Genomic DNA, 26,495 nt, shown 5'->3' with positions numbered 1-26,495 from the left:
ACTCCTAGCCCATGACAATGACAGTTCCTGTGAGGGAACTCCATTCTCCTGTTGAGAACCTACAAACTCCAATTTGCATTATAGAAGGACATTTGGGCAGGAGTGTGAAAGTACTAGCTACATCCTTCTAGCTCTCCCTTTCCCAAACATATCTTTGCATACAGATGGGATAGTAGCAGGCTCAAAATTAAGAAGGGAACAAGGTAAAATTATGAACTTTAAGATGAAGTTATGAACGTCATATAGGATAGTTAGGATTCTTGAAAAATATATATATATTTACCTATATACATATATTTTAAAAGTCTGAAAACTCCCTTCCTCCCAAATATAGCTGATATGTATATATACGTGTATGTGTGTATGTATATACATGTGTATGTGTATGTGTGTATACATGTATGTCTATGTGTGTGTATACATGTGTACGCATGTATCTACATGTTTACATATGTATACGTGTGTATATACATGTATGTGCACATGTATGTGTATGTATGCGTGTGTACATATGTGTATGTGTGTATATATGTGTGTGCGTGTGTGTGTGTGCACGCACACATGCATGCGCTTTTGGTTTTTTAAAGACAAGGTCTTACTGTGTTCCTCGGGCTAGACTTGACCTCCTGGGCCCAAGCAATCCTCCCACCTCAGCTTCCTGAGTACAGGCACACAACCACTGTGTCCTTGACTACATTTCAACCATAAATTCACAGGAGTAATAACCCAAGGGGAAATCTTAAAGAATAAAGTAAGCCCTCTCCCTCTCCCTCTCCCTCTCCCTACGGTCTCTCTCCCCCTCTCTTTCCACGGTCTCCCTCTGATGCCGAGCCGAAGCTGGACTGTACTGCTGCCATCTCGGCTCCCTGCAACCTCCCTGCCTGATTCTCCTGCTTCAGCCTGCCGAGTGCCTGCAATTGCAGGCACGCGCCGCCATGCCTGACTGGTTTTCGTATTTTTTTGGTGGAGACGGGGTTTCGCTGTGTTGGCCGGGCTGGTCTCCAGCTCCTAACCGCGAGTGATCCGCCAGCCTCGGCCTCCCGAGGTGCCGGGATTGCAGACGGAGTCTCGTTCACTCAGTGCTCAATGGTGCCCAGGCTGGAGTGCAGTGGCGTGATCTCGGCTCGCTACAACCTCCACCTCCCAGCCGCCTGCCTTGGCCTCCCAAAGTGCCGAGATTGCAGCCTCTGCCTGGCCGCCACCCCATCTGGGAAGTGAGGAGCGTCTCTGCCTGGCCGCCCATCGTCTGGGATGTGAGGAGCCCCTCTGCCTGGCTGCCCAGTCTGGAAAGTGAGGAGCGTCTCTGCCCGGCCGCCATCCCATCTAGGAAGTGAGGAGCGCCTCTTCCCAGCCGCCATCCCATCGAGGAAGTGAGGAGCGTCTCTGCCCGACCACCCATCGTCTGAGATGTGAGGAGCGCCTCTGCCCCGCCGCCCCGTCTGGGATGTGAGGAGCGCCTCTGCCTGGCCGCGACCCCGTCTGGGAGGTGAGGAGCGTCTCTGCCCGGCCGCCCCGTCTGAGAAGTGAGGAGACCCTCTGCCCGGCAGCCGCCCCGTCTGGGAAGTGAGGAGCGTCTCCGCCCGGCAGCCACCCCGTCCGGGAGGGAGGTGGGGGTCAGCCCCCCGCCCGGCCAGCCGCCCCGTCCGGGAGGGAGGTGCGGGTCAGCCCCCCGCCTGGCCAGCCGCCCCGTCCGGGAGGGAGGCGGGGGGTCAGCCCCCCGCCCGGCCAGCCGCCCCGTCCAGGAGGGAGGTGGGGGTCAGCCCCCCGCCCGGCCAGCCGCCCCGTCCGGGAGGGAGGTGGGGGTCAGCCCCCTGCCCGGCCAGCCGCCCCGTCCGGGAGGGAGGTGGGGGTCAGCCCCCCGCCCGGCCAGCCGCCCCGTCCAGAAGGTGAGGGGCGCCTCTGCCCGGCCGCCCCTACTGGGAAGTGAGGAGCCCCTCTGCCTGGCCACCACCCCGTCTGGGAGGTGTACCCAATAGCTCATTGAGAACGGGCCATGATGACAATGGCGGTTTTGTGGAATAGAAAAGGGGGAAAGGTGGGGAAAAGATTGAGAAATCCGATGGTTGCTGTGTCTGTGTAGAAAGAAGTAGACATGGGAGACTTTTCATTTTGTTCTGTACTAAGAAAAATTCTTCTGCCTTGGGATCCTGTTGATCTATGACCTTACCCCCAACCCTGTGCTCTCTGAAACATGTGCTGTGTTCACTCAGGGTTAAATGGATTAAGGGCGGTGCAAGATGTGCTTTGTTAAACAGATGCTTGAAGGCAGCATGCTCTTTAAGAGTCATCACCACTCCCTAATCTCAAGTACCCAGGGACACAAACACTGCGGAAGGCCGCAGGGTCCTCTGCCTAGGAAAACCAGAGACCTTTGTTCACTTGCTTATGTGCTGACCTTCCCTCCACTATTGTCCTATGACCCTGCCAAATCCCCCTCTGCAAGAAACACCCAAGAATGATAAAAAAAAAAAAAAAAAAGAATAAAGTAAGTTGGTTCGAGAACGTGGATGGAGGAGGCTGGGAAAACTGTCCATACTCCTTTCACGGGATTCGGAAAGAGGTATCTGAACTCACCAGCGATCGGTGGCTGTTCCCTCAGGTTCTCCCAGCCACAGCTTCTCCTCTGATTGCTCCAAATATTCCTCAGCCCAGCGGGCAGGGGACACAGACAAGGGGTCTGCAAGGAGCAGAGAAGTGGGGAAATCACACAGGTTCATTCAGTGTGGGATCAAGGAAAGGGAAAGAGATGCCCATATTCAACTGACCCTCTTAGCCACACCAAAGCAGACAAAACTCTGCTGACTCCCTCAGAAACCCCTGGTCAAAAGAATATAGTACTAAATTTTCAACATCCTCAATATCCAACCCATTCTCAAGGAGCCTGGGGCAGAAATTTACTGAGAGTTGGGAACGGGAGATCAAATAAGGAATCTCAGGAAAGGATTAAGAACCAAACTCTTTTTCTTGAAGTGCAAGATATTTCAATAAGAAATAGGAAGCGGAAGGGCTTTCACTTTCCTCAGAAGTACAGCAGGGAGCCAGTAAGGAGTGAAGGGAGCACAGAAGGGCTCCTGTTCCTTAACCAAGGCACTGGTCTGTTCTCCCTCTACCCAGAGTTCACACAATCCCGGCCAAAGGAGCCTTATTTCATTGTAATTTGCCTACCAAGAGAATCAGAGAAGTGGAATGCTAGGCTAGAATTAAAGACACATAGGTCTGCTCTTCCCTATGGATGTTTGGTGGGTTTTTTCATTTTTTAATTGAAATGTAATATACAAATATGAAACCATATAATGTCTACCAAACTTAAGTGTACAGCTAAATTAACTTCCACATTTGATACACTCACATAACCACCACCCGGATCAAGATACAGAACGTTTACAGTTCCCTCACAGGCTCCCTCAGTCTCCCAGCCCCCAGAAGTAAACACTATTCTGACTTTTCTCACTTTTGATTATCTTTGAGTAGCTATGTTTTTTCAGTCTAATTTTAGAAACTGTCTCAGAAGCTCTAGTGACAAAGGGGACTGCTGCAACATCAGAATTAACCTATCAAGGCAACAAACTCAATGAGGGTGCTGAACTGTTTTTCATCCTCCAGGACTTTGCCCTTTACTATCCTGTGGCCAGAAAAAAAAAACAAGGAGACTGACTGCGGGCACTAAAGAACACAAGGAAACAAAGAGAAGGCACAAGCCTACGGTGTTCTTTCCTTCTGCCCTGTGTCCAGAACTAATCTTACTAGTTAGTCTGCCACCACCTTCCCCTGCTATTCCCCACTCCTGGCCCATGACAAGGACAGTTCCCAAGGGGGAACTCCACTCTCTTGTTGAGAACCTACTAACTCCAATTTGCATTAAAGAGGGACATTTGGGCAGGGGTGTGAAAATATTAGCTGATACTAGCAGTCTTTGTCCCCAGTTTCAAGATCTGACCACCCTTGCTTTTACTACCCCTTCGGTATTAAAGTACAAAAACTTCTACTCCATTTTAACTGAAACTTTGCCTGAATAATGTCAACAAAGTAGTCTCAAAATCTGAGCATGAAATGTCAAAATGTGAAAAACAAAGATCAAGACTCTCAGAATACACCTAATTATAAATAATAAGTAATTACTACTTATTATATTATATATAACATATATAATTACATTATATATAACATATAATTATTACATTATATATAACATATATAATTATTATATTATATATAACATATATAATTATTACATTATATATAACATAATTACATTGTATATGACATATAATTACATTGTATATGACATATATATAATTATTACATTGTATATGACATATATAATTATTACATTGTATATGACATATATAATTATTACATTGTATATGACATATGATTACATTATATATGACATATATAATTATTACATTATATATGACATATATAATTATTACATATGACATATAATTATTACATATGACATATATAATTACATTATATATGACATATATAATTACATTATATATGACATATATAATTACATTATATATGACATATATAATTATTACATTATATATGACATATATTATTACATTATATGACATATATAATTACATTATATGTGACATATATAATTACATTATATGTGACATATATAATTACATTATATGTGACATATATAATTACATTATATGTGACATATATAATTATTACATTATATGTGACATATATAATTATTACATTATATGTGACATATAATTATTACATTATATGTGACATATAATTATTACATTATATGTGACATATATAATTATTACATTATATGTGACATATATAATTATTACATTATATGTGACATATATAATTATTACATTATATGTGACATATATAATTATTACATTATGTGACATATATAATTATTACATTATATGTGACATATATAATTATTACATTATATGTGACATATATAATTATTACATTATATGTGACATATATAATTATTACATTATATGTGACATATATAATTATTACATTATATGTGACATATATAATTATTACATTATATGTGACATATATAATTATTACATTATATGTGACATATATAATTATTACATTATGTGACATATATAATTATTACATTATATGTGACATATATAATTATTACATTATATGTGACATATATAATTATTACATTATATGTGACATATATAATTATTACATTATATATGATGTAATTATTACATTATATATGACACATAATTATTACATTATATATGGCACATATAATTATTACATTATATATGACACATATATGTATGACACATAATTATTACATTATATATGTCATATATAATTAAATTATATATGACATATATAAATTATGACATATATAATTAAATTATATATGACATATAATTAAATTATATATGACATATATAAATTATGACATATATAATTAAATATGACATATAATTAAATTATATATGACATATATAATTATTACATAACATATATTACATTATATATAATATATAATGTAATAAATACATTATATGTAACATATGTAATAAGAAATACATTATATATAACATAATGTAATAAGAAATACGTTATAACATAAGAAATACATTATATATACATTATATATAATGTAAAATGTATATATAATATATATAATATATAATGTATAATGTAATAAGAAATATGGTTGGCAATTTTTTTTGACCATAGATCCATCTGTTAATTTCAAGGACTCTCAAAAATTAAATACAGATTCTGCTCACTAGCTCTTACAGGAAGCATTTCTCTTCCATTTGCCCCAATTAGACTGTTGCCTCAAGTGTGGAGACGGAAAGGAGATGCTTAATACTCAAAGAGACTTTAAGATCTCCTAGTTCCTTAGTTCCATTCTTAGTTGAAATTCTTAGCTCCATTCTGTTGAAAAATAACTACTACCTCCTCAACTCTCCAAACACTTCTAACTCTCAACTAGAGTATTTTGCAAAAGCATATTCTGGCCATAAGTGCTCCTCAAATTCACAGAAAACATTTCAAATTCCTATGAAATGGTCCTCTCAAGGACAAAAAAAAAAAAACAGAAAAAACACAAAGCACCTTTGAATTTTTACAACAGACATGAGGACTTAACAATAGATATGAGGCAGTTTAAGAAAAAAAATCCCAGAGCTGAGAAAAACTATCCTCAAATACCTATAATTTGGTAGTTGGCCAGATTAAATCGCCACAAGACCCAGAATTTCTTGGCATTGGGAACCTACTCCAACAAGAGTCAAATAACCGAAAGAATCAAAAGAGTAACACACTGCCTTCACAATCTTTGAGAAATTCCTACAGAAAATCAGATCCATGTGGATACATCTGAGATCAAGGCAACTAAGGTCTACAGAGGGGATGCACTGCCTGAGGTCATACAGATTAGTAGAGTGAGAATAACCTAGACACCAAATACCCCACTCAAAATGTGCACCTCATATAATTTCTCGTTGTTTACTCATTCCTTCTAGGCACATCTTCCCCAAGCTCAAAAGTCAAAAACTCAGAACTTGCTACTCTTACTCATGAAAGTTTCTGTGTCTGCTAAATAGCAGCACTGTGGAGAAGAATACAAGTTGTAGGGTCAGTCTACCCACATTTAAATCCTAACTCCATCACTTATTCACTGTGCATCTTCAGACTAGTTACTCAACCTTCTTAAGTTTCCATGTCCTTATCTTTAAAGCAGAGATAACAGTAGGGGCTGCGGTGAAAACCAATGAATACAGTAACAAATGTTAGTTATTATCATTAGTCTGCTCATGGCAAACCTATAACAAAAGCAGAAAACATCACAATGAGACTGTTATTCCAAAGCCTCTCCTCCAACATCCAGAAAAGATCTGTTGCCAATTATCTTCTGCTACTGCTATCCATGGCTTTTCCCATGAAAGTGCAGGTTTATCTCTCACGATTATCATATGAACCTCACATACCATGTCAACCGAAGCTGTCTAAATTTAAGAACCCTGAAGATGTGTTTTATCTCTAGATCTGAGCAAACACAAGATGGAGAATTATTTGACCCAGAAGATTTAAGACGGGGGGATTCCATTACAAAATAAGGTAAGCTAAAAAAATGAACTTCATGTGGTGAGAGAATAGTTCTGTATCTTGATCATGATGGTGCTTACACAAATCTACACATTTAATAAAATTGCAAAAAACACACACACACAAATAAGGGCATGTAAAACTGGTGAAACCTAATAAACTCTGAGGATTGAAACAAGGGCAACTTCTTGATTTTTGATCTCTGCATAACTGCTATGTAAAATGTTACCACTGGAGGAGACTGGGTGAAGGGTATACAGAACCTTCCTATACATTTTTTTTTTCAACTTCCAGTGAAACTAAGTACTTCCAAATAAAAAATTTAAATTTAAATAATTGAGCTGCAACATTCTTTTTAAACTTGATTTTGACTCTTAACAGTGGAGATTTTAAAATAAGAACTTAAAAAGTATAACCTTCTTTCATCTCAAAATCTACTTATCTATAAAGCCATAGCTAACCCATACAATTGTATCAACCACAAATGCTGTAATTAAAAATGAAGGATAATAAAAAAAAGTCAGTTACGACAAAATGAACTCCTTTCCTTTAGCTTTTTCTCCCAGATCTCAATTCATTCATTCAATACCAGAGGCCTACTACATGCAAAGCAATATACTGCTGCAATAAGACATTTTTATGAAGGCAGACTTCAAACAGCTCAACTCCCATTCTAAGGTTTGCATGTCTCTGCCTCTGTGAAACAGGCACGATTCCAAAAGAATCTACAAAATACTAGAAGAGCTCTACTAAGAGCATTTAACTGGTGAGACAGATAAAACATGTTTTTCTAAAGTTCTTTTTCATTTCAAGTTAAGGAAGATTTCAATGGCTGCATGCAATTCAGGTAATTACAGCAAAAATTTCATCCATCTCAACGCTCATAGTAGCAATGATTTTTCTGAATTATCAAAAATGACTAATGCCCACATTACAACAGAAGCCTCTCTGTGATAAGAGATAGCACTTAAGTCTAAGGTTTATGTGAAAAACTGAGTTTCTGTCTTGGAGAGGGTCTTTGCTATGGTTCAGATTTTAACTTGCGGCAATTTCACAAAGAATCTCAACGTGAGGGCGCGTGCGGTGGCTCACGCTTGTAATCCCAGCACTTTGGGAGGCTGTGGTGGATTACTTAAGGTCAGGAGTTCAAGACCAGCCTGGCCAACATGGTGAAACCCTGTCTCTACTAAAAATACCAAAATTAGCCGGGCATGGTGGCACACGCCTGTAGTCCCAGCTACTCAGGAGGCTGAAACGGGAGAATCCCTTGAAGCCAGGAGGCAGAGGTTGCAGTGCGTACAGATTGCACCGCTGCACTCCACCCTGGGTGAGAGCAAGACCCTGTCTCAAAAAAAAAAAAAAAAAAAGAATCTCAAGAGCCACACAGACATGAGTTTGAATATCATCTCTATTATTCAATGATTTTGCACAAAGTATTTAACTTTTCCAAATCTCAGTCTCCTCATCTATAAAATGGGGGTGGGATATCCACCTTGTGTTACTGTTACTGTGAAGTTCTAATGAGCTTAAGAAGATAAAGTGATTAGCACTCTTAAAGCCAAGAGCACCTACTGTTCTACCTTAACTCCAACTTATGGGTGGGAAAGAGACACGTGATAAAAGAGACCCACAGATCTTATTAAAGGTGAGTTTTAGTTTTTAGATTTGGGATTTTTCTCTTGTGTGCGGAGAAGCCCATCCTAAACATGGGCCTCCTTCACACACATTTGTCCCTGATCAGATAGGCTTCGGGTAAGAAGAATCAATCCTAAAGGATGCGAGGAGCAATGGATGCTCTCAAGGAAAATTAGACTTGAGACCTTGAAATCTGTAGCAAACGAAGAAAGAACATAAATTAAAATGGTGGGGGTAGAAACCAATTCAGTCCCTTTAATCATCTCAGAAAAATTCAGGAACCATGATGATGTGACTCCCCGAGATCCTGGAACTTGGTAACTTTCTCTATGTGTATCTCTTGTTATTCTTGATATCTTAAACAGGAAAAAGGCTAACTTTTGAGAGCAATCAGGAAGAGGAAAGCTGAAGAGACTGCCCTTCCCACCATGTACCTGATTAGATAGGCTTAGGGCAAGAAGAATCAATCATAAAAGATGCAGGAGCAATGGATGCTTTCAAAGAGGAAAAATTAGGCTGAAACCTTTAAGTCTGTAGCAAAGCAAGAAAGAAGATAAATTGCAGGCCTGACAGTATAGCATCACAGTTAAGGCCACAGGGTCAGGAATCATTCAAATCCAGGATCAAATCCCAACTCTACCACTGACAAAGCTGTGTAACCTTGGGCACACTTCACCTCTAAGCCTCAATTTTCTTATCTTTAAACTAGGTCTAAAAACAGTAACTACCTCTAGGGTTCTCATGGAGAGTAAGTAGATAATGCATTCAAAGCATGTAACACAAGGCCTAGAACGTAACTATTGTTATTAATTTTTATTATCATCATCATGGTATGGTCTTTACCTTCTAAAGCCATACACTTCAGGCACTGGAACTTCACAATAACACTCTGAAGGCCCCAATTCTGTTCCAAATAACTTAAGGCCAGAATCCCAGGTGCTGTAGTGAATACTCTCTTCCTCGGCAACACTGCCATCCATCCAATCTGTAGATCCTCTCCACTAAACCACAGTGATAAAGTAAAAAGGCCAACCAAACTCTTCGTTCTCTCTATCCAAAATCTCTTATCCAGTACAAACCCAGTCCTCTCTTTAATATACATTACATTCCGTTATCACCTAAGGGAAATTGAGTTCAGTACCCTACCCCTCTAGAAATGAGTCATGAGACCAGAAAAATCGTAATCACACTATAACGTGAACAGGGGAAGGGTATAGAATTCTGTCCCATAGAAGCCAATATAGATTTTCCCATAACAAGTTTCACCTGTAACTTCAGAGATGAATTCTTGGGACCAGTCAGTCTCATTATAATCCTGAGTTACATCCACAGCATCTCCAGCTGCAAGAAACTCCTGGGCCCAGTTCTCAGACAAGGCCAAGTCTGCCACACCAGGGGCTTAAAAGAGAGAGAGAGAAAACTAAGAAAGAATACATACATACCATTCCATCATGCCTAAAGAACCCTGAATCCACGTGAAAACACTCTGTTACTTTTGTCTCCTTCTGCATCTCAGGTCCCCAATGCCAGCAGCATCCAATGGAACCCCCTTCCTTGGCCCTGGCTACATGGAAAACGATCTCCCCTCCCACTAGACTCTGGACTCACCTCTCTGGGGAGCCTGGCGGAAGTTTGACTGCTCAATCTGCTGCATCTCAGCCAGGAGGTCATCCATCTTGAAGGTCTGAGGGGCACGGGACACAAGGGGTGCATTCTGGTCCTGCAGGAATTCAGCCACCAACTGCCAGAAGGGAAATGATGAAATGAACCCATAGGCTTGGGAGGCCCCAGCAAGAGGCAGGACCCACTGGAGGGGGATCCCAATGTTAGATACAAGGAAAGGAAAACACAGAAACTGGAGACACATAAAGAGAAACTGTCTTTCCATAGATTTAGAAGGACGAAAAAATACATTTAAAAACAAGCAGGCATTCTCATTCGGTCAGGAAAGCCCAAAAATTGAAATACGGGTGAACTAAGTTTAAAGGTAAAAACACAGTGGGCAAGAGAAAAATGGGACAGAAAAGAGACTGGTCTATTTACCTCATCTTCAGAAGCTACTCCCAAAGGCTTGGAGGCCTAAGAGAGAAAGACAGAGATGTACAATGACGCAGTTCCTCTAAAATCAGGGGTTGATGAAGCCCATAGGCATCTGAGCCTCGGCTTCTTCATCTATAAAATGGTTGCATTTATTTAAAGGTGCACAGGGTTTTCTAGTGTTTATAAACGCTCAGTAAGTGGTAACTACTATGATTTGCAACACAATAGAGAAAGCAGTTATACCAAGATGTGCAAACAGCCCCTCCACCTCAGACCACCACCACCTGGGCTTTCCACCTCAAGAACACTCACTGCCTCAGAGGCTGCACCTGGGCTTTCCACCTCAAGAACACTCACTGCCTCAGAGGCTGCACCTGGGCTTTCCACCTCAAGAACACTCACTGCCTCAGAGGCCGGGGCTCCGGGGGGCCAGGGGCCAGGCCTCAATCCCTCCTGCCGAAGGGCCTTGTCCTGGGTGAAGTGCCCGGCGAGCTTCATGAGCGGGTTGGCACCCCCGCATTCGGCCTCCACCAGCTCCCGCATTGCCATGGTGACCGCCAGCTCTCTGATGGACACAGGAGGTTTGGAACTGAGGTACCCAAGCCAGACCCTTCTCACATCCACAACTCTGCCCGTATCTGAGGAAGGCACACAGGCGTCTGCCCCACACTGGCCGCCCTCCACCCCAGTGCTTTTGCTGCGACCCCCACCTCTGCCAGGAGTTCGAGGGAGGTCGGTACTCTCTCCTGCCGCCCCCCTCAAAGGCCACCGCTTCCAGCCTGCGCCTCTGCAGAGGCCTCCGCGACTACGGTCCCATGGGCTGGGGGCCAGCAGCTGCCTCCACAAAGGGGCCTGGACCCCGGGGGACCACGGGGACGCTTCAACAACCAGGCTGGACGGCGACACTGCCCGAAGAAGGGACAGTGGGAAAACAGCCCGACCATACCTAGCCCCGCGCAGCCCCAGCACGCGGTGAGCACGGCAGAGGAGCATTCCCTCCCCTTAAGTCACCGGAGCCCTTCCCCCGGCTCGGCCCGGTCCCTCCCGCGCTCCCCACCGCCCATCTCCCCGGCCCTGCTGCCGCTCCAGCCCCGCCCCTGGGACCCGCGAGGCCACCGCAAGGGTGGGGAGGGCCCAGGGACGCGGCCCCGGGCCCCCTCGGGGTCAGGCGCTCACCGCGGAGCGCCGCGCCGCACGACCCGCCGGGGCACCAGGTGCTGGCTTGGGGGAGGGGAGAAGAGGGGGCGGGGAGCCAGGGGGCGGGGCTCAGGCTTAAAGGGGCCGTGACCGCCCCGCAGCGGCCCAGGCCCAGCGGAAGCTGTCTGAAAAGGCGGGGCCTTAAGACTGCGACGCAGCCTGACGGGAAGAGCCGTGAGTCTTAAAGGGGAAGAGCACCTTAGAGAGCGGGTCTTGGAGAGTCGCCTTTAGGAGCGCTCGAAAAGGCCACGGGCCCTAGGATTTGTTTGACGGAAAGCTCAAAGAAGAGTGGAGCTAAGAAGGGCTTCCCAGGCTCTGGGGGAAAGCCGAAGACGCGAGATCCTAGGCTCAGTCGATCCTGCCTCTTCCCTTGGGCGCATTGTGACCTAAGGGGATTCAGTGCCCTTTCTGAGCCTCAGTTTTCCCCTCTAAAATGGGGCTGGCTAATGTTCCCAAGCCCAAGAAAGAGAAAAGCCCTAACACCAGGGGCTGGGGAGTCCAGTCCGAAGCCTTCTTCAGCCTCCTAGGCCTGCCCCGCTTCCAAATAACCCCTAGCGGGGTAGCGTCACTGTCTCCATGGAGACAGGGGCCCGCCCCCGCCTTAATCCCTCTCCACCTCTGCATAATGGGGAAAATAGCACTGCATGATGACAAATTCCGGAGACCAAAATAGGGTCCAACGCATCCTGAGACCTCGAGCTGGTAACGTACAGGGAAGGTGAACAGTGAGTCAGCCCTTCCTTCCGCTAAGTCAACATAGTGGCCTTATTCCCATCACTCCAGGCTGGGAAAGGACAAACATACAAGAAATGCTTTTAATCACGGAATAAGACTAAGCCTCAAGCCCCCTCATCTGCCAAAGAGTGTGCTCTGCTGTCAAACCTCAAAGTCATTGAGAAACAAACCCTGATAATCTCACCCAGCTTCAAGACCAAGGGAGTCCTAGTGTCATGGAGAAGAGCAAGGAGGGGCCCAGGGCTGCCGGTAAATGACCAAGGGCAATAATGCCAGACGAACAGAAGTACCATCCCAGCCCAGGGTGCATGAGCGGAGGCAGGCAGGCAGCAGGTGGCGCCATGGGCCGGGCTTGTTTCCTGGCTGTTCTGCAGATTTCAGAGGTGGAGGCCTCAGGGGGCCACAGGGAATGTCTGTGTAAACTCATCCCTGGGAAGACAGAGAAGCTGCTCTGACACCTCAGGGGAACAGAATGGCAGGGGACAGACCATAAGACTGTGCAACATTTCTCCTTTTCCTTGCCTTTTCGCCCTCTTTCAGAGGCCCCACTTCTACACCCCGTTTTCTTCCGGAGCACACAAATCCCAGCCCTTGGGCGTCCCCTGTTCTCAGGCTGCCATCGTGAGGAAAATACCTGATAAACTAAACCACACAAGGATGAAGAGATGCCCTCCAGAAGGTGCATACTTTTAAAAAGAGGACCCCCTAGAGAGAGCAATGTTTAAAGGAACCCATCTGATACAGTAGAATTTCAGAACCTCAAGGCAACCAGAGTTTCCCAGTACCACTTAAACATCACAACACACATAACCTTCTGCTCTGCTAGGAGTTTATCAACTGATTAGCCGTAACTCACTTTGTGTGCAGATCTTGGAAGAATGCTAATAATAATAACTGATGTTTACTAAAATCCAGGTGTTGTGTAAAACACTTTATGTATCTCAATGTTTTTAATCTTCTTAATACCCCTATTAAATAGATATTAGTAGACCCACTTTACAGATAAGACTTGTGCAAAATCAGATGGCTAGGAAGTCAAAATTTAATCCAGGCATAACTCTAGGCACCTACTTCCCAGTCTTAGAGAAGACTTACTGATAAACCATGGAGATCTTTGATCTCCTAGGCCATAGAATCATTCACAGAACTTGGTCCACAGTCCCAGCCAGAGGTGCTGGGAAAGGGCTAATAGAGTGACTTTGGTGTTTAATATTTAATTTACTGAAGCTCTAGATTTGAAACCCTAGATTTTGTTAATCCAGGTTCAACTTTAAATTCTTGTTCTATTCATAAAAGTAGTAATTTTTATAAAATAAAAATAATTTTTACTTATTCTTTAATGTTTGACGAATTCAAGTTCAATAGATGTTTAGACACACATTGCATTGACTGTGTGCCAGGCATTGTTTCAAGCACTTTTCAACTATTGATTTATTTAATCCTCCTAATAGTTATTAATAATAACTATTATCCCCCATTTTACAAAAGAGGAAACTGAGGCACAGAGAAGTTGAGTGACTTGCACAAGGTCATACTAATAAATAGCAGAGCTGGGATTTGAACCCAGACCACGGTCACCAAACTGTAAAGGGCTCAATGGTCAATATTTTTGGCTTTGTAGTCCATGCAGTCTCTGTCACAGTGACTCAACCCTGCTGTTGGAGCACAAAAGCAGACATAGGCCACACCTAAACAAATGAGCATGGCTGTATTCCAGTAATGCTTTTTATGGGGACTGAAATGTGAATTTTATATAATTTTCATGTTACAAAATATTCTTCTTCTTTTGATGTTTTTCCAACTATTTAAAAATGTCAAATACTTATTTGTTTTGAGACAGTCTTGTTCTGTCACCCAGGCCGGCATGCAGTGGCGCAATCTCGGCTCACTACAACCTCTACCTCCTAGGTTCAAGTGATTCTCCTGCCTCAGCCTCCCGAGTAGCTGGGACTACAGGCACATGCCACCATGCCCAGCTAATTTTCGTATTTTTAGTAGAGATGGGGTTTCACCATGTTGGTCAGGCTGGTCTCAAACACCTGACTTCAGATGATCCACCCCCCTTGGCCTCCTGAAGTGCTGGGATTACAGATGTGACCCACCGTGCCCAGCCAAAAAACGTCAAATACTTCTTAGCTTGCAGACTATGGAAAAACAGGGACCAGGCCATAGTTTGTGGATCTTTGACCTACACAGTCTTATTCCAGAGTCCATGCTCTTAAACACTGTGCTGTACTTCTGCTTTTTAGAAATAAAAGACAAATTTCCTAATATTTTTAACTATGTGACATTTAATATTCATATTTTAAATACCTGACAGGGCAAACAACACTACTAGGCAAAACCTTTCTGAACTTTTATTCAACCCTTTAATAAATCAAACTTATAAACATTTATTCAATTTTCTTAATCCTCTTAAAGTCATATGTCTAAAACTCTTTTCTTTTCTTTTTTTTTTTTTTGCTGTTGCAAGATTTAATAGAGTGAAAACAGAGCTCCCATACAACGGGAGGGGACCCAAAGGGGGTTGCCACTGCCAGCTCAAATGCCTGGGTTTATATCCCGATCATTGTCCCTCCCCCTGTGCTCTCAGGCAATAGATGATTGACTATTTCTTTACCTCCTGCTTTTAGCCTAATTGGTGTTTTAGTGAGCTCTCTTTACTACCTGATTGGTCAGGTGTGAGCTGAGTTACAAGCACCCTGTTTAAATGTGAGTACAGTCATCTTCCCCAGCTGGGCTTAGGAATGCTTAGTTGGCCTAGGAAATCCAGCTAGTCCTGTCTCTCAGTCCCCCCTCTCAACAGGAAAACCCAAGTGCTGTTGGGGAGGTTGGCCAACGACTGCTTTAACTGCTTCCTGCTGAATTGGGGCATAGTAGGTCATGCAGTTGAGATTTCCTCAGCAGGGGTGCCTTTGATGTCATCAACATCAGAGCATGGCCTAGCAGGTCCAGGGGTCTGTAGTAGATCTTAGTCATGGACTGCATCTGGGGCTCCATTTGAAGAGCCATTTGTAGTTTTTACAGCTTTGATTCTGGAAGAGACAAACTTAACAAGGAGGTTAAAGATACAGGGATTGAAATGTATGGCCTGAAGTGCAGGGGGAGGCACATCCAACAGTTAGTAGGGTTTGGGGATAAAGATAAGCCAGTATTGGCTGGATACGTTCCTCACTGAGGGCCCTGGTGCCTTTGGATAATTTTAGCCCTAAGTATTTAACCTGCTGTAAGCAGAACTGAGCCTTTGGTTTGGAAACCTTGTAGCCACAGGTGGCGAGGAAGTTTAAGAGCGCTTGGGTAACTCGATGGCACAAGGTTTCTGAACGGGCTGCTAAAAGTAAATCATCCACATACCAAAGGGCAAGAGTGTCCAAGTATGAGAACTGGCTCAAGTCTTGTGCTAATGCCTGGTCAAATAGATGGGGGCTATCCCTGAACACTTGGGGTAAAGCAGTCCAGGTGAGTTGAGATGTTGGGTTCAAAGGATCTTCAAAGGCAAACAAGAATTGAGAGTCGGGATGTACGGGGATGCAGAAAAAGGCATCCTTAAGATCCAGGACTGTAAACCACTCTGCTTCCTCTGGTATTTGTGAAAGCAAAGTATAAGGGTTAGGTACAGCTGGGTATAGAGGGACAACGGCCTCACTGATAATCCTGAGATCTTGCACTAACCTCCACTGTCCATTGGGTTTCTGTACTCCTAAAATTGGAGTATTGCAGGGACTATTGCATGGTTTTACTAGGCCTTGGGCTTTTAGGTCCTTAACGATCTTTTGAAGTCCAAGTTGGGGCTTGTTGGGCTGTCCATCAGAGAGCTGGGTGGATCTAAGAGGGTACTGCCTTTGGTAGGGGAAGGAGGCAGAATCCTTTAGTTTAAGTTGAACAGGACAGGCATTCTTCACTTGTCTATTTGTCCTTCTGTGGCCCAGACTTCAGGATTAATTCCTTCCTCAAGTAGGGGACAACAAATGGGTGCTCCTTCTCCTATATTCAAGTGTATAATGGCCCCTGCTTTTGCTAGAATATCTCTCCCTAACAAAGGAGTGGGGCTTTCAGGCATAATTAGAAAGGCATGTGAAAAGAGTAAAGTTCCCCAGTCACAACTTAGTGGCTGGGAGAAATATCTAGTGACTGCCTCTCCTAGGACCCCTCAGATAGTGACAGATCTGGAAGACAGTTGTCCGAGACAGGAGAGTAAGATTGAGAAGGCTGTGCCAGTGTCCAGGAGACAGTTAACCTCCTGGCCCTTAATGGTCAAGCATACCCGGGGCTCTGTGAGGGTGATGGCATGGGCTGGTGCTTGCCCTGGGCACACAGTTCTGCTGCTGGATCATCTATCTGGTTAGTGGCTTCTGACTCAGAGGACCTTCGTTCCCTGGGGCAGCAGAACTTCCAGTCATTCCCTTGACATAAGGGGCATGGACAAGGGGGTGGCTTATTTCTATTCGGACAATCTTTTTTAAAGTGCCCTTGTAGACCGCATTGGAAGCAAGCATTCAATTTACCCAGCCTTTCTGTTCCAGAGCCTCCAAAGTCTGCTTGCTTGAAGGCCATGACTAAAGCTGTGGCCTTTTTTTAATCCCGTTTGTCCCATTCCGCCTGCTCCTCCTGATCTCTATTATAAAATACCAAGGTTGCCAAGTTCAATAGGGTTTCTAAGTTTTGCTCTGGGCCTAAGGCAGATTTTGAAGTTTTTTTTCCTAATGTCTGCAGCTGACTGAGTGATAAACTTATCCTTTAAGATTAGTTGGCCTTCAACAGAGTCAGGTGACAGAGAGGTATGCTTTCTCAATGCCTCCCTTAGTCTCTCCAGAAAGACAGTAGGATTTTCTTCCTTTCCCTGTGTTATAGCAGACATCATTGAATAGTTCATCAGCTTCTTCCTAGTTTTCCTTAGTCCTTCTAGCACGCAAGTTAGCAAATGTCTGCAGCACCAATCTCCATGTTCTGATTCTGCGTCCTGATGAGGGTCTACACTGGGAACTGCCTACTGGCCTGTGGGGAATTGTTCTCTTTCCTCTGTTGTCATACTATCATTGACCTGATTGAGATACCAGAGATCGCCAAACTCTCGGGCTACAGTTATGGCGGCACTTCTCTTGTTTGGGGTTAGTGTCTGATCTAGCAGTAACATTATATCTCTCCATGTCAGATCAAAGGATTGTCCTAACCCTTGTAAAACATCAACATAGCCATCAGGGTTATCTGAGAATTTACCTAGGTCTATTTTAATTTGCTTCAAATCTGAGAGGGAAAAAGGTACATGCACTCTGACTGGGCCAAATTCTCCTCCCACTGCCTGGAGGGGGCATAATCGGGAAATATTGGCACTCTTTGGTTCATTGTTTACCCCTTTGTCTATCTCCTTTTGGACCGTTTGTGTGAAGGGGGGTCCTTATTAGTTGGGGAAAGAGCCGGGGGAATGCTGGGGTAGGGAGGTAGATTCTGAGAGCTTCCTATAGGGCATAAATTACACTTTTTACGTAACTGCAAGTTATCTCTTAATGAAAAGAAAGTTTGCACATATGGCACTTCACTCCATTTGCCCTCTTTTCTACAAAAGAGGTCTAGCTATAAGATGGTGTTATAATTTATACTTCCCTCAGGAGGCCAGGTTTCTCCCTCTTGAAGAGGATATCATGGCCAGGCAGTACTGCAGAAGAATATAAGTTATTTATTTCTTAGTGTTTGAGGGTCAAATTGGTCCCAATTCTCCAGAATACATCTTAGGGGCATTTTTGCCTTGGGGGGAACATTTCCCATCTGAAAAAAGAACATAGGGATGCCAGCACCCCGAGTCATTTTCCAATGCGCATCGCATCAGTTTTAGAGCATCCTCGGTGGTCTTAATGCTTATTCCTTTCCAGGGTGCGTAACCACCCATGGACCTCTGCTTATCGGATTAGTTATGCTCACCAATGTAGCAGTCCTGCACCTGTTTTCCCACCTTTCTTGACCACAAAGAAAGGGGTCGGGGCTGCTGGATTCTAGGGGTCCTTTACTAGCATGCCCAACATTGCCTTTGCACTCAGGGGTGAGTTCTAGAGCTGGGCTGTGTTCCTGAGTATTTCATAACAACCCAGTTGCCCCATGAAAATGCATTCCCATAAATAACAGTTCCTATGCAAATTCATTTCAGAGAGGGTGTAGGTAACCTTTTGAGTCAGGATTGAGATAGAGTTTTTGACCACTGGGGCCTTTGTCCTTCTTTTTCTTTGTAGGAATATGCCCTAATTATTGATCTTAAACTTTTTGTTGTCCCGGATTAAGTCTTTTTGGGTACAAAATATGACAGATGGATCCTGTTTATCCTATGTGCCTTTTTCCTATGAGAAGGGGAGCAAGGAGAAAAGGATGGACTTGCTGGCTTTATATGCTAAAGTCCAGTAAATAAACTTCTGGGTGCTATGTTGTCTTTCCAGTAGTATTGACTTACATAGGATCACTAGGCAAAGCTGTGAGAGAGATAGTTTCTCTCTTGGTAGATGGATTTTGGGAACACAGCGGAAGGACGTTTGCTCATTGCCCCCATTTGCCACTATAGGAATATGTGCCTTCCCTTAATTTACTTAATGCATTTTCATCCTGATCTATTATATTGTTGTAGACCGAGTTCCAGTTGTTAAAGTACTGGGTCATCAGTTTTAAGGCCCTGGCAAGGGTGGTGGGGAATGGGTCCCACATAACTGCCTATGTTGACAGCTGTATACCTAAATTGGGAGGGACACCAGGGGCAAGACTCCCTGGGTTCATAGCCTAGGTGCCTAAGGATGCAGCGTAGAGCTCCCTTAGATCCCTTTGGAGATACAACTTGCTCTAATACTTGGGAAAGGAAGTAAAAGTCTGAAGCATTTGTACCTAGGAGGCAGGGATCAAAGGCAGTAGATTCACAGGTAAGGAGAATTTGGGGGCTACACTTTCAAGAAAGTCGTGATCAGAACTCAGGAGGTATGGGTCAGAAGGAGAGGTAGTCGCACATGCATGGGCGATTGTTGAGTAGAGACTTCTGGCTGTGCCATGATCTTGACTGGCCAATGCCAGGAGTTCAGGATGACACCTTTCTGCCTCTAGTCAGCCCTCGACTTCCCCCAGGAATATTGTGAAAGTGGAAGCTGGTTCCAGGCAGACCAATGCTCCCAACCCACAAGGGTTGGGAGTTGTTAGCCTTTTCCCAGAAAGCCTCACATCTGAGTCTTAAGTCCAGCAGCCACGCTAATCGTTTTTAACCAGCTGACAGGTACCTGGTATTTTCCTCTGATTCTAAGGAAGGATAGGATAGAACAGCAAGCAAAAGTGGTCCAATATTACTCACCGCTTTGGAGAATCCCCGTATAGGCCACCAAATCTTACTGGTGGGTCTTTGTTCTTAGAGCTCCCAAGATGGTGGCAAGCCACTCCCAAGATGGCAGCAAGCCTTTTGTTCCCTGACCTGGGGTTCTTGGCCTCACGAATTCCAAGGAATTGAACCTTGAGCCATGCAGTGAGTGTTATAGCTCTATTAGAAGCCATGGGTCATGGAAGAGAACCATGGAACACAGCAACTAGTGTTCAGCTTGATTAGGACAAATCTGGACACTTAGCCATGCAGGAACAATGGCGAGCCTCTAGCCCGATCGGGAGTAGCAACAGGCACCTCACTGGATCAGAAGCGCAGGGACACCCTGCCAGATCCGGAGGGGTGGAAGTCAGCAGCAGGTCTACAACAGTGGTGATCAGCAATGGTGGACGGCAGACGAAAGCTCAGCTTGAGCCAGAAAAAACATGGACCAGAAGAGTGTGCAGTTCCAAGATTTAACAGAGTGAAAACAGAGCTCCTGTACAACGGGAGGGGACCCAAAGGGGGTTGCCAAAGTCTAAAACTTTACTTTCCAAATCAAAGGCTAATCCATCAGATTCTCTAAAACATCAAACATTTTAACTTATAATGTCACTTTTACATCTCTGCAAGGCAAATTTACTGACTCAGGTAAGTCAAGTTTACTGGGTTAAATTTAGAACTACAGTGTAGATACTTAAAAGTCAGAGATTTGAGACCAAGACTCAAGACATAGACATATCCCCAAGACAAGGCTGAGTCACAAATGAATACTCTCAGCACTGTTTTAGAGCTGAGCTCTGCCTGCTGTGTCATGGATCCCTAAGGCCATTTCCTCCACTTGGTAACGATATCCAAGTCATGAGTTAAAACTCTTTTTTTTTTTGAGACAGAGCCTCACTCCATCTCCCAGGCTGGAGTGCAGTGGCAGGATCTCAGCTCACTGCAACCTCCACCTCCCAGGTTCAAGCAATTCTAGTGCCTCAGCCTCCCAAGTAGCTGGGATTACAGGCATGCACACCACACCAGGCTAATTTTTGTATTTTTTTTTTTTTAAGGAAAGAACAGGGTTTTACCATATTGGCCAGGCTGGTTTGAACTTTTGGCCTCAAGTGATCCACCCACCTTGGCTTCCCAAAGTACTGGGATTACAGGTGTAAACCACTGTGCCCAGCCATGAGTTACAAGTTTACCTAGCTATCATCTCATTTAGGTACAGCTACTTTCTTTGAATAAATTCATTTGAATAAATGAATTTCTTTTTTTTTTTTTTTTTTTTTTGAGACAGAGTTTCGTTGTTGTTGCCCAGGCTGGAGTGCAATGGCACAATCTCAGCTCACCACAACCTCCACCTTCCAGGTTCAAGCGATTCTCCTGCCCTAGACTCCCAAGTAGCTGGGATTACAGGCATGCACCACCATGCCCCGCTAATTTTTGTATTTTTTAGTAGAGATAGGGTTTCTCCATGTTGGTCAGGCTGGTCTCAAACTCCTGACCTCAGGTGATCCACCTGCCTCGGCCTCCAAAAGTGCTGGGATTATAGGCGTGAACCACTGCACCTGGCCTAATTTCTTTATTTTCTAAGTGTTCAAGTCTACATTCCTCTTGTTTGGAGGAGGGGTAATACTATGGTTTCAATGTGTCCCCAAAATACTAATGTGCTAGAAACTTAACCCCTCTGCCCTCATGAGTGGATTAATGTTGCTATCATGGGAGTGGGTTTGTTATAAAAGCAAGCTCTCTCTGTCTTGCTTGCCCTTGCCCTTTCACCATGTGATGCCCTCCACCATGTTATGATGTAGCAAGAAGGCCCTCATTAGATGGTGGCACCATACTCTTGAACCATGAACTAAATAAACCTCTATTCCTTATAAATTATCCAGCCTCCATAACTATGATCTAAATAAACCTCTATTTTTCACAAATTACTCAGTCTGTGATATTCAGTTATAGCAACAGAAAACAAACTAAGACAGGTAGGAAATGGGGGATGACCCCATCTGATTTGATTCTTTAGTTTTTTAATGACATCAGATGCAGAGTAATAGAAGTTTCCATGCTCTGGAAATTGCAAATCAAGTTACAGTCTTTACACATGTACATTTGGAAGGGCTTGTTGCTTATAATTACCCATCCCTCCTTGCAGCCCTAGTAGTCATCATTGGCAGAGACAACTTGGCAAAGGATGAAAACAGTATATGTGATGAAATGCAGCAAATCTTGAAGCCAGGACCATCTAAAAAGACCTGAAGAAATCTTAATTTGCTTTAAAAGTGTTCAAAGTAGTGATATCTAGATATACCGAGGTATACCCAGCACTATGCACCTAGGTTTGGGTACAAAGTATCTTAACTCCATCCCTGGCCACCCAGTAGAGAACGCTGCCAGATAGCTGCAAGGACTGTAGTACACACTGTCTTCACCCCTATGTCTTAGTCTGTTCTGGCTGCTATAATAAAATACCTTAGACTGAGGGCTGGGGCACCGTGGCTCATGCCTGTAATCCCAGCACTTTGGGAGGCGGAGGCAGGTGGATCACCTGAGGTCAAGAGTTTGAGACCAGCCTGGCCAAGATGGTGAAACCCCATCTCTAAAACTACAAAAATTAGCCAGGCATGGTGGCAAGTGCCTGTAATCCCAGCTACTTGGGAGGCTGAGGCAGGAGAATCGCTTGAACCCAGGAAGTGGAGGTTGCAGTGAGCCGAGATCGTGCCATTGCATTCTAGCCTGGGTGACAGAGCAAGACTATGTCAAAAAAAAAACAAAAAAAAAAGGAAAAAAAAAAAAACCTTAGACTGGATGGCTTATAAACAACAAATATTTACTTCTCACAGTTCTGCAGGCTGAGAAGTCCCATCAAAGCACCCACAGATTCAGTGTCTGGTGAGGTTCTTGCTTCCTCATAAATGGTGCCTTCTTGCTGCATCTTCACATGGTGGAAGGGCCAGCCTAGCCACCTCTCTGGGATCTAGCAACACTAATCCCATTCATGAGGCAGAGCCCTCATGACCGAATCATCTCCCAAAAGCCTCCTAACCGCCTCCTAATACCATCACACTGGGGGTTAGGATTTCAACATATGAACTATGAGGGAGACACAAACATTCAGACCATAGCATCCTGCTTCTAGTAGAATCTTACCACCTTTGAAATCCAGAGAAGTTTCAGAATATGTCACCCTTGCCAAATCCAGCTGGGAAACCTTTGATTGTCCCCACACAGAAAAGAAGGAAGGAAGGAAAAAGGAAACCAAGATTTTTTTGCTTGGGAATATTTCCCCAAATGAGTGGTTTTGCTCCCTTTTCAGAGTTTTTTCACCAAATATCTATAGCATATACAGATAAGCTGTGTGTGTGTGTGTGTGTGTGTGTGTGTGTGTGTGTGTGTGTGTGTGTGTGTTTGGAGAAAGATCCTGCCTTGGGAAAAATGGAGTAGACATAATTTTCTCTATTCCTTCCATTCAGTACAACTTAAAACCCTGAGCATTATATGTAAACCAAACATAAGAAGACTCTCAAAGGTGTAGAAAAGAAGGCAGACTGGCTAGGGACCACAAGACCCAAGAAACAACATGGTAATGAGTCCCATGGGTTTCCTTTTTGCCTCACATATCTCATACTGAGTGCTAAAGAGGCCAGCAACCCAGAAACACCAACATGCCCAGACAAAATAAGCTCCAATAAAAGCCTGCTCTTTCTAACCAAAGGACAAGAAGAGGGGCAGCCTACCAAGACAGAAACTTCTAGACAATAACCACTCCATTCGAGCTAAACACCAAATTTAAAACTGTGCCCCTACCCACACAACAAGCAATGGCCAAGAGGGGAGTCTAGACTTCCTCCCTCATGAGGCTGTAAGAAGACACCCCAATACCGAGGTGGGTACCCCTAAAACCGAGGAGTCAGCAGAGCTATGCTCCTTCTGGAGGCAGTAGGGAGAAATCTGTTTTCTTGTCTTTTCCAGCTTCTAGAGGCCACCTGATTCTTTGGTTCATGGCACCTACCTCTGTCTTCAGCCAGAAATGTCTGGCCAAGCCCCTCTAATATGGTCATCCCTCTGGTTCTCTCCCTGCCGCCTCCATCTCTCACATATAAGGACCTCAGTGATCATATTGGGCCCACTTGGATAATCCAGAATCATCTCTACATTCTCTCTCCATATCCTGGAGGATAATCTCCAAGACCTCTACCACATTCATTGATTCTAAAAAGTTATCACACCAAGAGAATGCAGTAATAACTTTTTTAAGCCACTTAGTTTGTGAAAAATTTTTATAGCAGCAATGAGAAGACAAGCCACTGACTTGGAGAAAATATTTGCAAAACTCCTACGTGATAAAGAACTGTTATCCAAAATATAAAAAGAACTCTTAAAACTCAACAATAAGAACATAAGGTGGGCCAATTAGAAACTTCCATCTTCAACTGTAATTTCTCTTTGCCATGTGGCCTCACCTATTCACAGGTTCCAGACAGTACGACGTGGACATCTTTGGGAAGGACATTATTTTGCAACACACCCACTGAAAATATCCTTCAGGAATGGAGGGAAAATCAAGACATGCTTCATTAAGGAAAATGAAAAGAATTTGTCCCCATCAGACCTACCCTGACTGAATAGCCAAAGGAAGTTCTTAAAGCAGAAAGGAAACAATAAAAGAAGGAACTCAGGAACATCATGAAATAAGGAAAAATGCAGTAAGCAAAAATATGGGTCAATACAATAGGCTCAAGTTTTCTAACATATGTTTGACGATTGAAGAAACATCATATCATTGTTTGTTTTTTGGAATAAGCATTAGCTAAACAAATGAAACTTAAGTTGCCCAACCAGTTACTTATATTCAGCATCTATGAGTTTCAGTAACTTCACCTTGACACTCACCACATTTTGTCATCTACAACCTGAAGGGATTGCACAACAGATTTCTAAAAGTCCCTGTTTCTAAAATCTATGACTGTCATGTAGTAAGTAGTGTCAAATGCCCTCTATAAGAGCCAGTCTCATTGTCCATTTTAATTCAATAATTCGACAAGTGTGTATTAGGCACCTATTGAGCACAAGTCCTCATGCTAATTCCCTAATTTCTTATCATTTATAATTCCTTATTATTTAGGCATTTACTCTGATATTTGCATTATCTTTAAATCCCCTCCCAGGGCTTAACCTTACCAGTCCCACCACCACCAAATATACATGCTTCCTGTCCATGGGAGCCTTTTCAAGTAGGCTGCTCCCACCCAGCTGCCCAAGCTGGCTTCCTGTGAGACCTCTACCACATTCATTGATTCTAAAAAGTATCACTTTAAGAGAATGAGAAGACGAGCTACTAACTTGGACAAAATATTTGCAAAACTCATACGTCATAAAGGACTGTTATCCAAAATTTTAAAAGACTTTAAAACTCAGTAATAAGAAAACAAACAACTCAACTTGAAAATGGGCAAAACATCTGAATAGGCAAAAGAAGATATACAGATGGCAAATAAGCATATGAAAAGATGCTTAGCATCATATGTCATTAAGAATTGCAAGTTAAAACAACAATGACAGACCACTACACACCTATTGGAATGGCCAAAATCCAAAACTCTGGCAACACCAAATGCTGACAAGGGTGTGGAGCAACAGGAACCCTTTTTTGTTGCTGTTGGGAATGCAAAATGGTACAGCCACTTTGGAAGACAGTTTGGCAAATTCTTACAAAAACTAACCATACTCTTATCATATGGTCCAGCCATCACACTCTTTGGTATTTAACCAAATGAGCTGAAAACATATCCACACAAAACTTTGCACAATATTATTCATAAACACCAAACTTGAAGAAGGAAACCAAGATGTCCTTCAGTAGAGGAACAGATAAACTGTGATTCATCCATACAATGGAATGTTATTTAGCAATAAAAAGAAATGAGCTAACCAGCCATTAAAAGGCATGGAGGAAACTTAAATGCATATTACTAAGTGAAAGAAGCCAATCTGAAAATGATTCATACTATATGATTCCAAGTATATGACATCCTGGAAAAGGCAAAGCTATGGAGACAGCAAAAAGATCAGTAGTTGCCAAGGGGTGGAGGTCAGGGAAGAGGGATGAGTAGGTGGAAGACAGAGCATTTTTAGGGCAGTGAGGCCACCCTGTAATGGTGAACTTATATCATTTGTCAAAACCCATAGAACTTACAACACAACAAGTGAAGTCTACTGAAAACTATGGACTGTGGGTGACCATGATGGGTCAATGTAGGTTCATAATTGTAGCAAATGCACCCTCTGGTAAGGGATATTGAGAGTAGGGAAGTCTGGGGATGGGGACAGGGGGTATATGGGAACTCTCTGTGCTTTCTGCTCAGTTTTTCTGTGAACCCCAAACAGCTCTAAAAAATAAAATATATTAAAAAAAGTATTACTGAGCTTCTTCAGATGAAAGTGGAGTATGTTTCCTACTGCCTGTTGCTGCAGAATTTAGCCAGCTGAGTACCCT

At 43.4% G+C, this 26,495-nt stretch overlaps 1 protein-coding gene across 43 annotated transcripts in view, besides 11 other annotated features; it reads right to left on the bottom strand.

The window, feature by feature from the left end:
• PEX5 (peroxisomal biogenesis factor 5) overlaps positions 1–13,035 on the bottom strand; it is a 29,922-nt gene extending 16,887 nt beyond the window's left edge. For 6 of the 43 annotated variants that reach the window (NM_001374646.1, NM_001351132.2, NM_001351136.2 and 3 more), the window contains exons 1-6: positions 11,938–12,002; positions 11,164–11,326; positions 10,765–10,800; positions 10,330–10,462; positions 9,988–10,119; positions 2,575–2,677 (exon numbers count right to left, since the gene is read on the bottom strand). In NM_001374646.1, coding sequence (NP_001361575.1) covers positions 2,575–2,677; positions 9,988–10,119; positions 10,330–10,462; positions 10,765–10,800; positions 11,164–11,310 — 551 coding nt within the window. In that variant the 5' untranslated portion in view covers positions 11,311–11,326; positions 11,938–12,002. Of the gene's footprint in view, positions 1–2,574; positions 2,678–9,987; positions 10,120–10,329; positions 10,463–10,764; positions 10,801–11,073; positions 12,003–12,156; positions 12,476–12,877 lie in introns of those variants that run through there. The other 37 variants (XR_007063107.1, XM_047429257.1, XM_011520793.3 and 34 more) reach the window with 17 other exon arrangements.
• Positions 10,713–11,428: an enhancer, noted in NCBI's record as "H3K27ac-H3K4me1 hESC enhancer chr12:7342856-7343571 (GRCh37/hg19 assembly coordinates)". NCBI's record gives its function as "activates a minimal SCP1, AML or CMV promoter by ChIP-STARR-seq in naive H9 embryonic stem cells {active_cell/tissue: H9 hESC(naive)}" and the evidence as "EXISTENCE:reporter gene assay evidence [ECO:0000049][PMID:30033119]".
• Positions 10,713–11,435: a biological region, named in NCBI's record as "H3K27ac-H3K4me1 hESC enhancer GRCh37_chr12:7342856-7343571".
• Positions 11,176–11,255: an enhancer, noted in NCBI's record as "active region_5918". NCBI's record gives its function as "activates an Ori minimal core promoter by ATAC-STARR-seq in GM12878 lymphoblastoid cells {active_cell/tissue: GM12878}" and the evidence as "EXISTENCE:reporter gene assay evidence [ECO:0000049][PMID:35858748]".
• Positions 11,286–11,435: an enhancer, noted in NCBI's record as "active region_5917". NCBI's record gives its function as "activates an Ori minimal core promoter by ATAC-STARR-seq in GM12878 lymphoblastoid cells {active_cell/tissue: GM12878}" and the evidence as "EXISTENCE:reporter gene assay evidence [ECO:0000049][PMID:35858748]".
• Positions 11,429–12,145: an enhancer, noted in NCBI's record as "H3K27ac-H3K4me1 hESC enhancer chr12:7342139-7342855 (GRCh37/hg19 assembly coordinates)". NCBI's record gives its function as "activates a minimal SCP1, AML or CMV promoter by ChIP-STARR-seq in naive and primed H9 embryonic stem cells {active_cell/tissue: H9 hESC(naive and primed)}" and the evidence as "EXISTENCE:reporter gene assay evidence [ECO:0000049][PMID:30033119]".
• Positions 11,626–12,035: a silencer, noted in NCBI's record as "silent region_4201". NCBI's record gives its function as "represses an Ori minimal core promoter by ATAC-STARR-seq in GM12878 lymphoblastoid cells {active_cell/tissue: GM12878}" and the evidence as "EXISTENCE:reporter gene assay evidence [ECO:0000049][PMID:35858748]".
• Positions 12,146–12,205: an enhancer, noted in NCBI's record as "active region_5916". NCBI's record gives its function as "activates an Ori minimal core promoter by ATAC-STARR-seq in GM12878 lymphoblastoid cells {active_cell/tissue: GM12878}" and the evidence as "EXISTENCE:reporter gene assay evidence [ECO:0000049][PMID:35858748]".
• Positions 12,516–13,015: an enhancer, noted in NCBI's record as "H3K4me1 hESC enhancer chr12:7341269-7341768 (GRCh37/hg19 assembly coordinates)". NCBI's record gives its function as "activates a minimal SCP1, AML or CMV promoter by ChIP-STARR-seq in naive H9 embryonic stem cells {active_cell/tissue: H9 hESC(naive)}" and the evidence as "EXISTENCE:reporter gene assay evidence [ECO:0000049][PMID:30033119]".
• Positions 13,016–13,517: an enhancer, noted in NCBI's record as "H3K4me1 hESC enhancer chr12:7340767-7341268 (GRCh37/hg19 assembly coordinates)". NCBI's record gives its function as "activates a minimal SCP1, AML or CMV promoter by ChIP-STARR-seq in naive H9 embryonic stem cells {active_cell/tissue: H9 hESC(naive)}" and the evidence as "EXISTENCE:reporter gene assay evidence [ECO:0000049][PMID:30033119]".
• Positions 13,056–13,105: a silencer, noted in NCBI's record as "silent region_4200". NCBI's record gives its function as "represses an Ori minimal core promoter by ATAC-STARR-seq in GM12878 lymphoblastoid cells {active_cell/tissue: GM12878}" and the evidence as "EXISTENCE:reporter gene assay evidence [ECO:0000049][PMID:35858748]".
• Positions 20,708–20,908: a silencer, noted in NCBI's record as "peak1553 fragment used in MPRA reporter construct". NCBI's record gives its function as "represses an SCP1 promoter by STARR-seq MPRAs in K562 erythroleukemia cells {active_cell/tissue: K562}" and the evidence as "EXISTENCE:reporter gene assay evidence [ECO:0000049][PMID:32103011]".

This window comes from Homo sapiens, chromosome 12 (assembly GCF_000001405.40).
Source record: "Homo sapiens chromosome 12, GRCh38.p14 Primary Assembly".
Classification (NCBI taxonomy): domain Eukaryota; kingdom Metazoa; phylum Chordata; class Mammalia; order Primates; family Hominidae; genus Homo; species Homo sapiens.
This window is presented reverse-complemented; position numbering and strand designations above follow the sequence as displayed.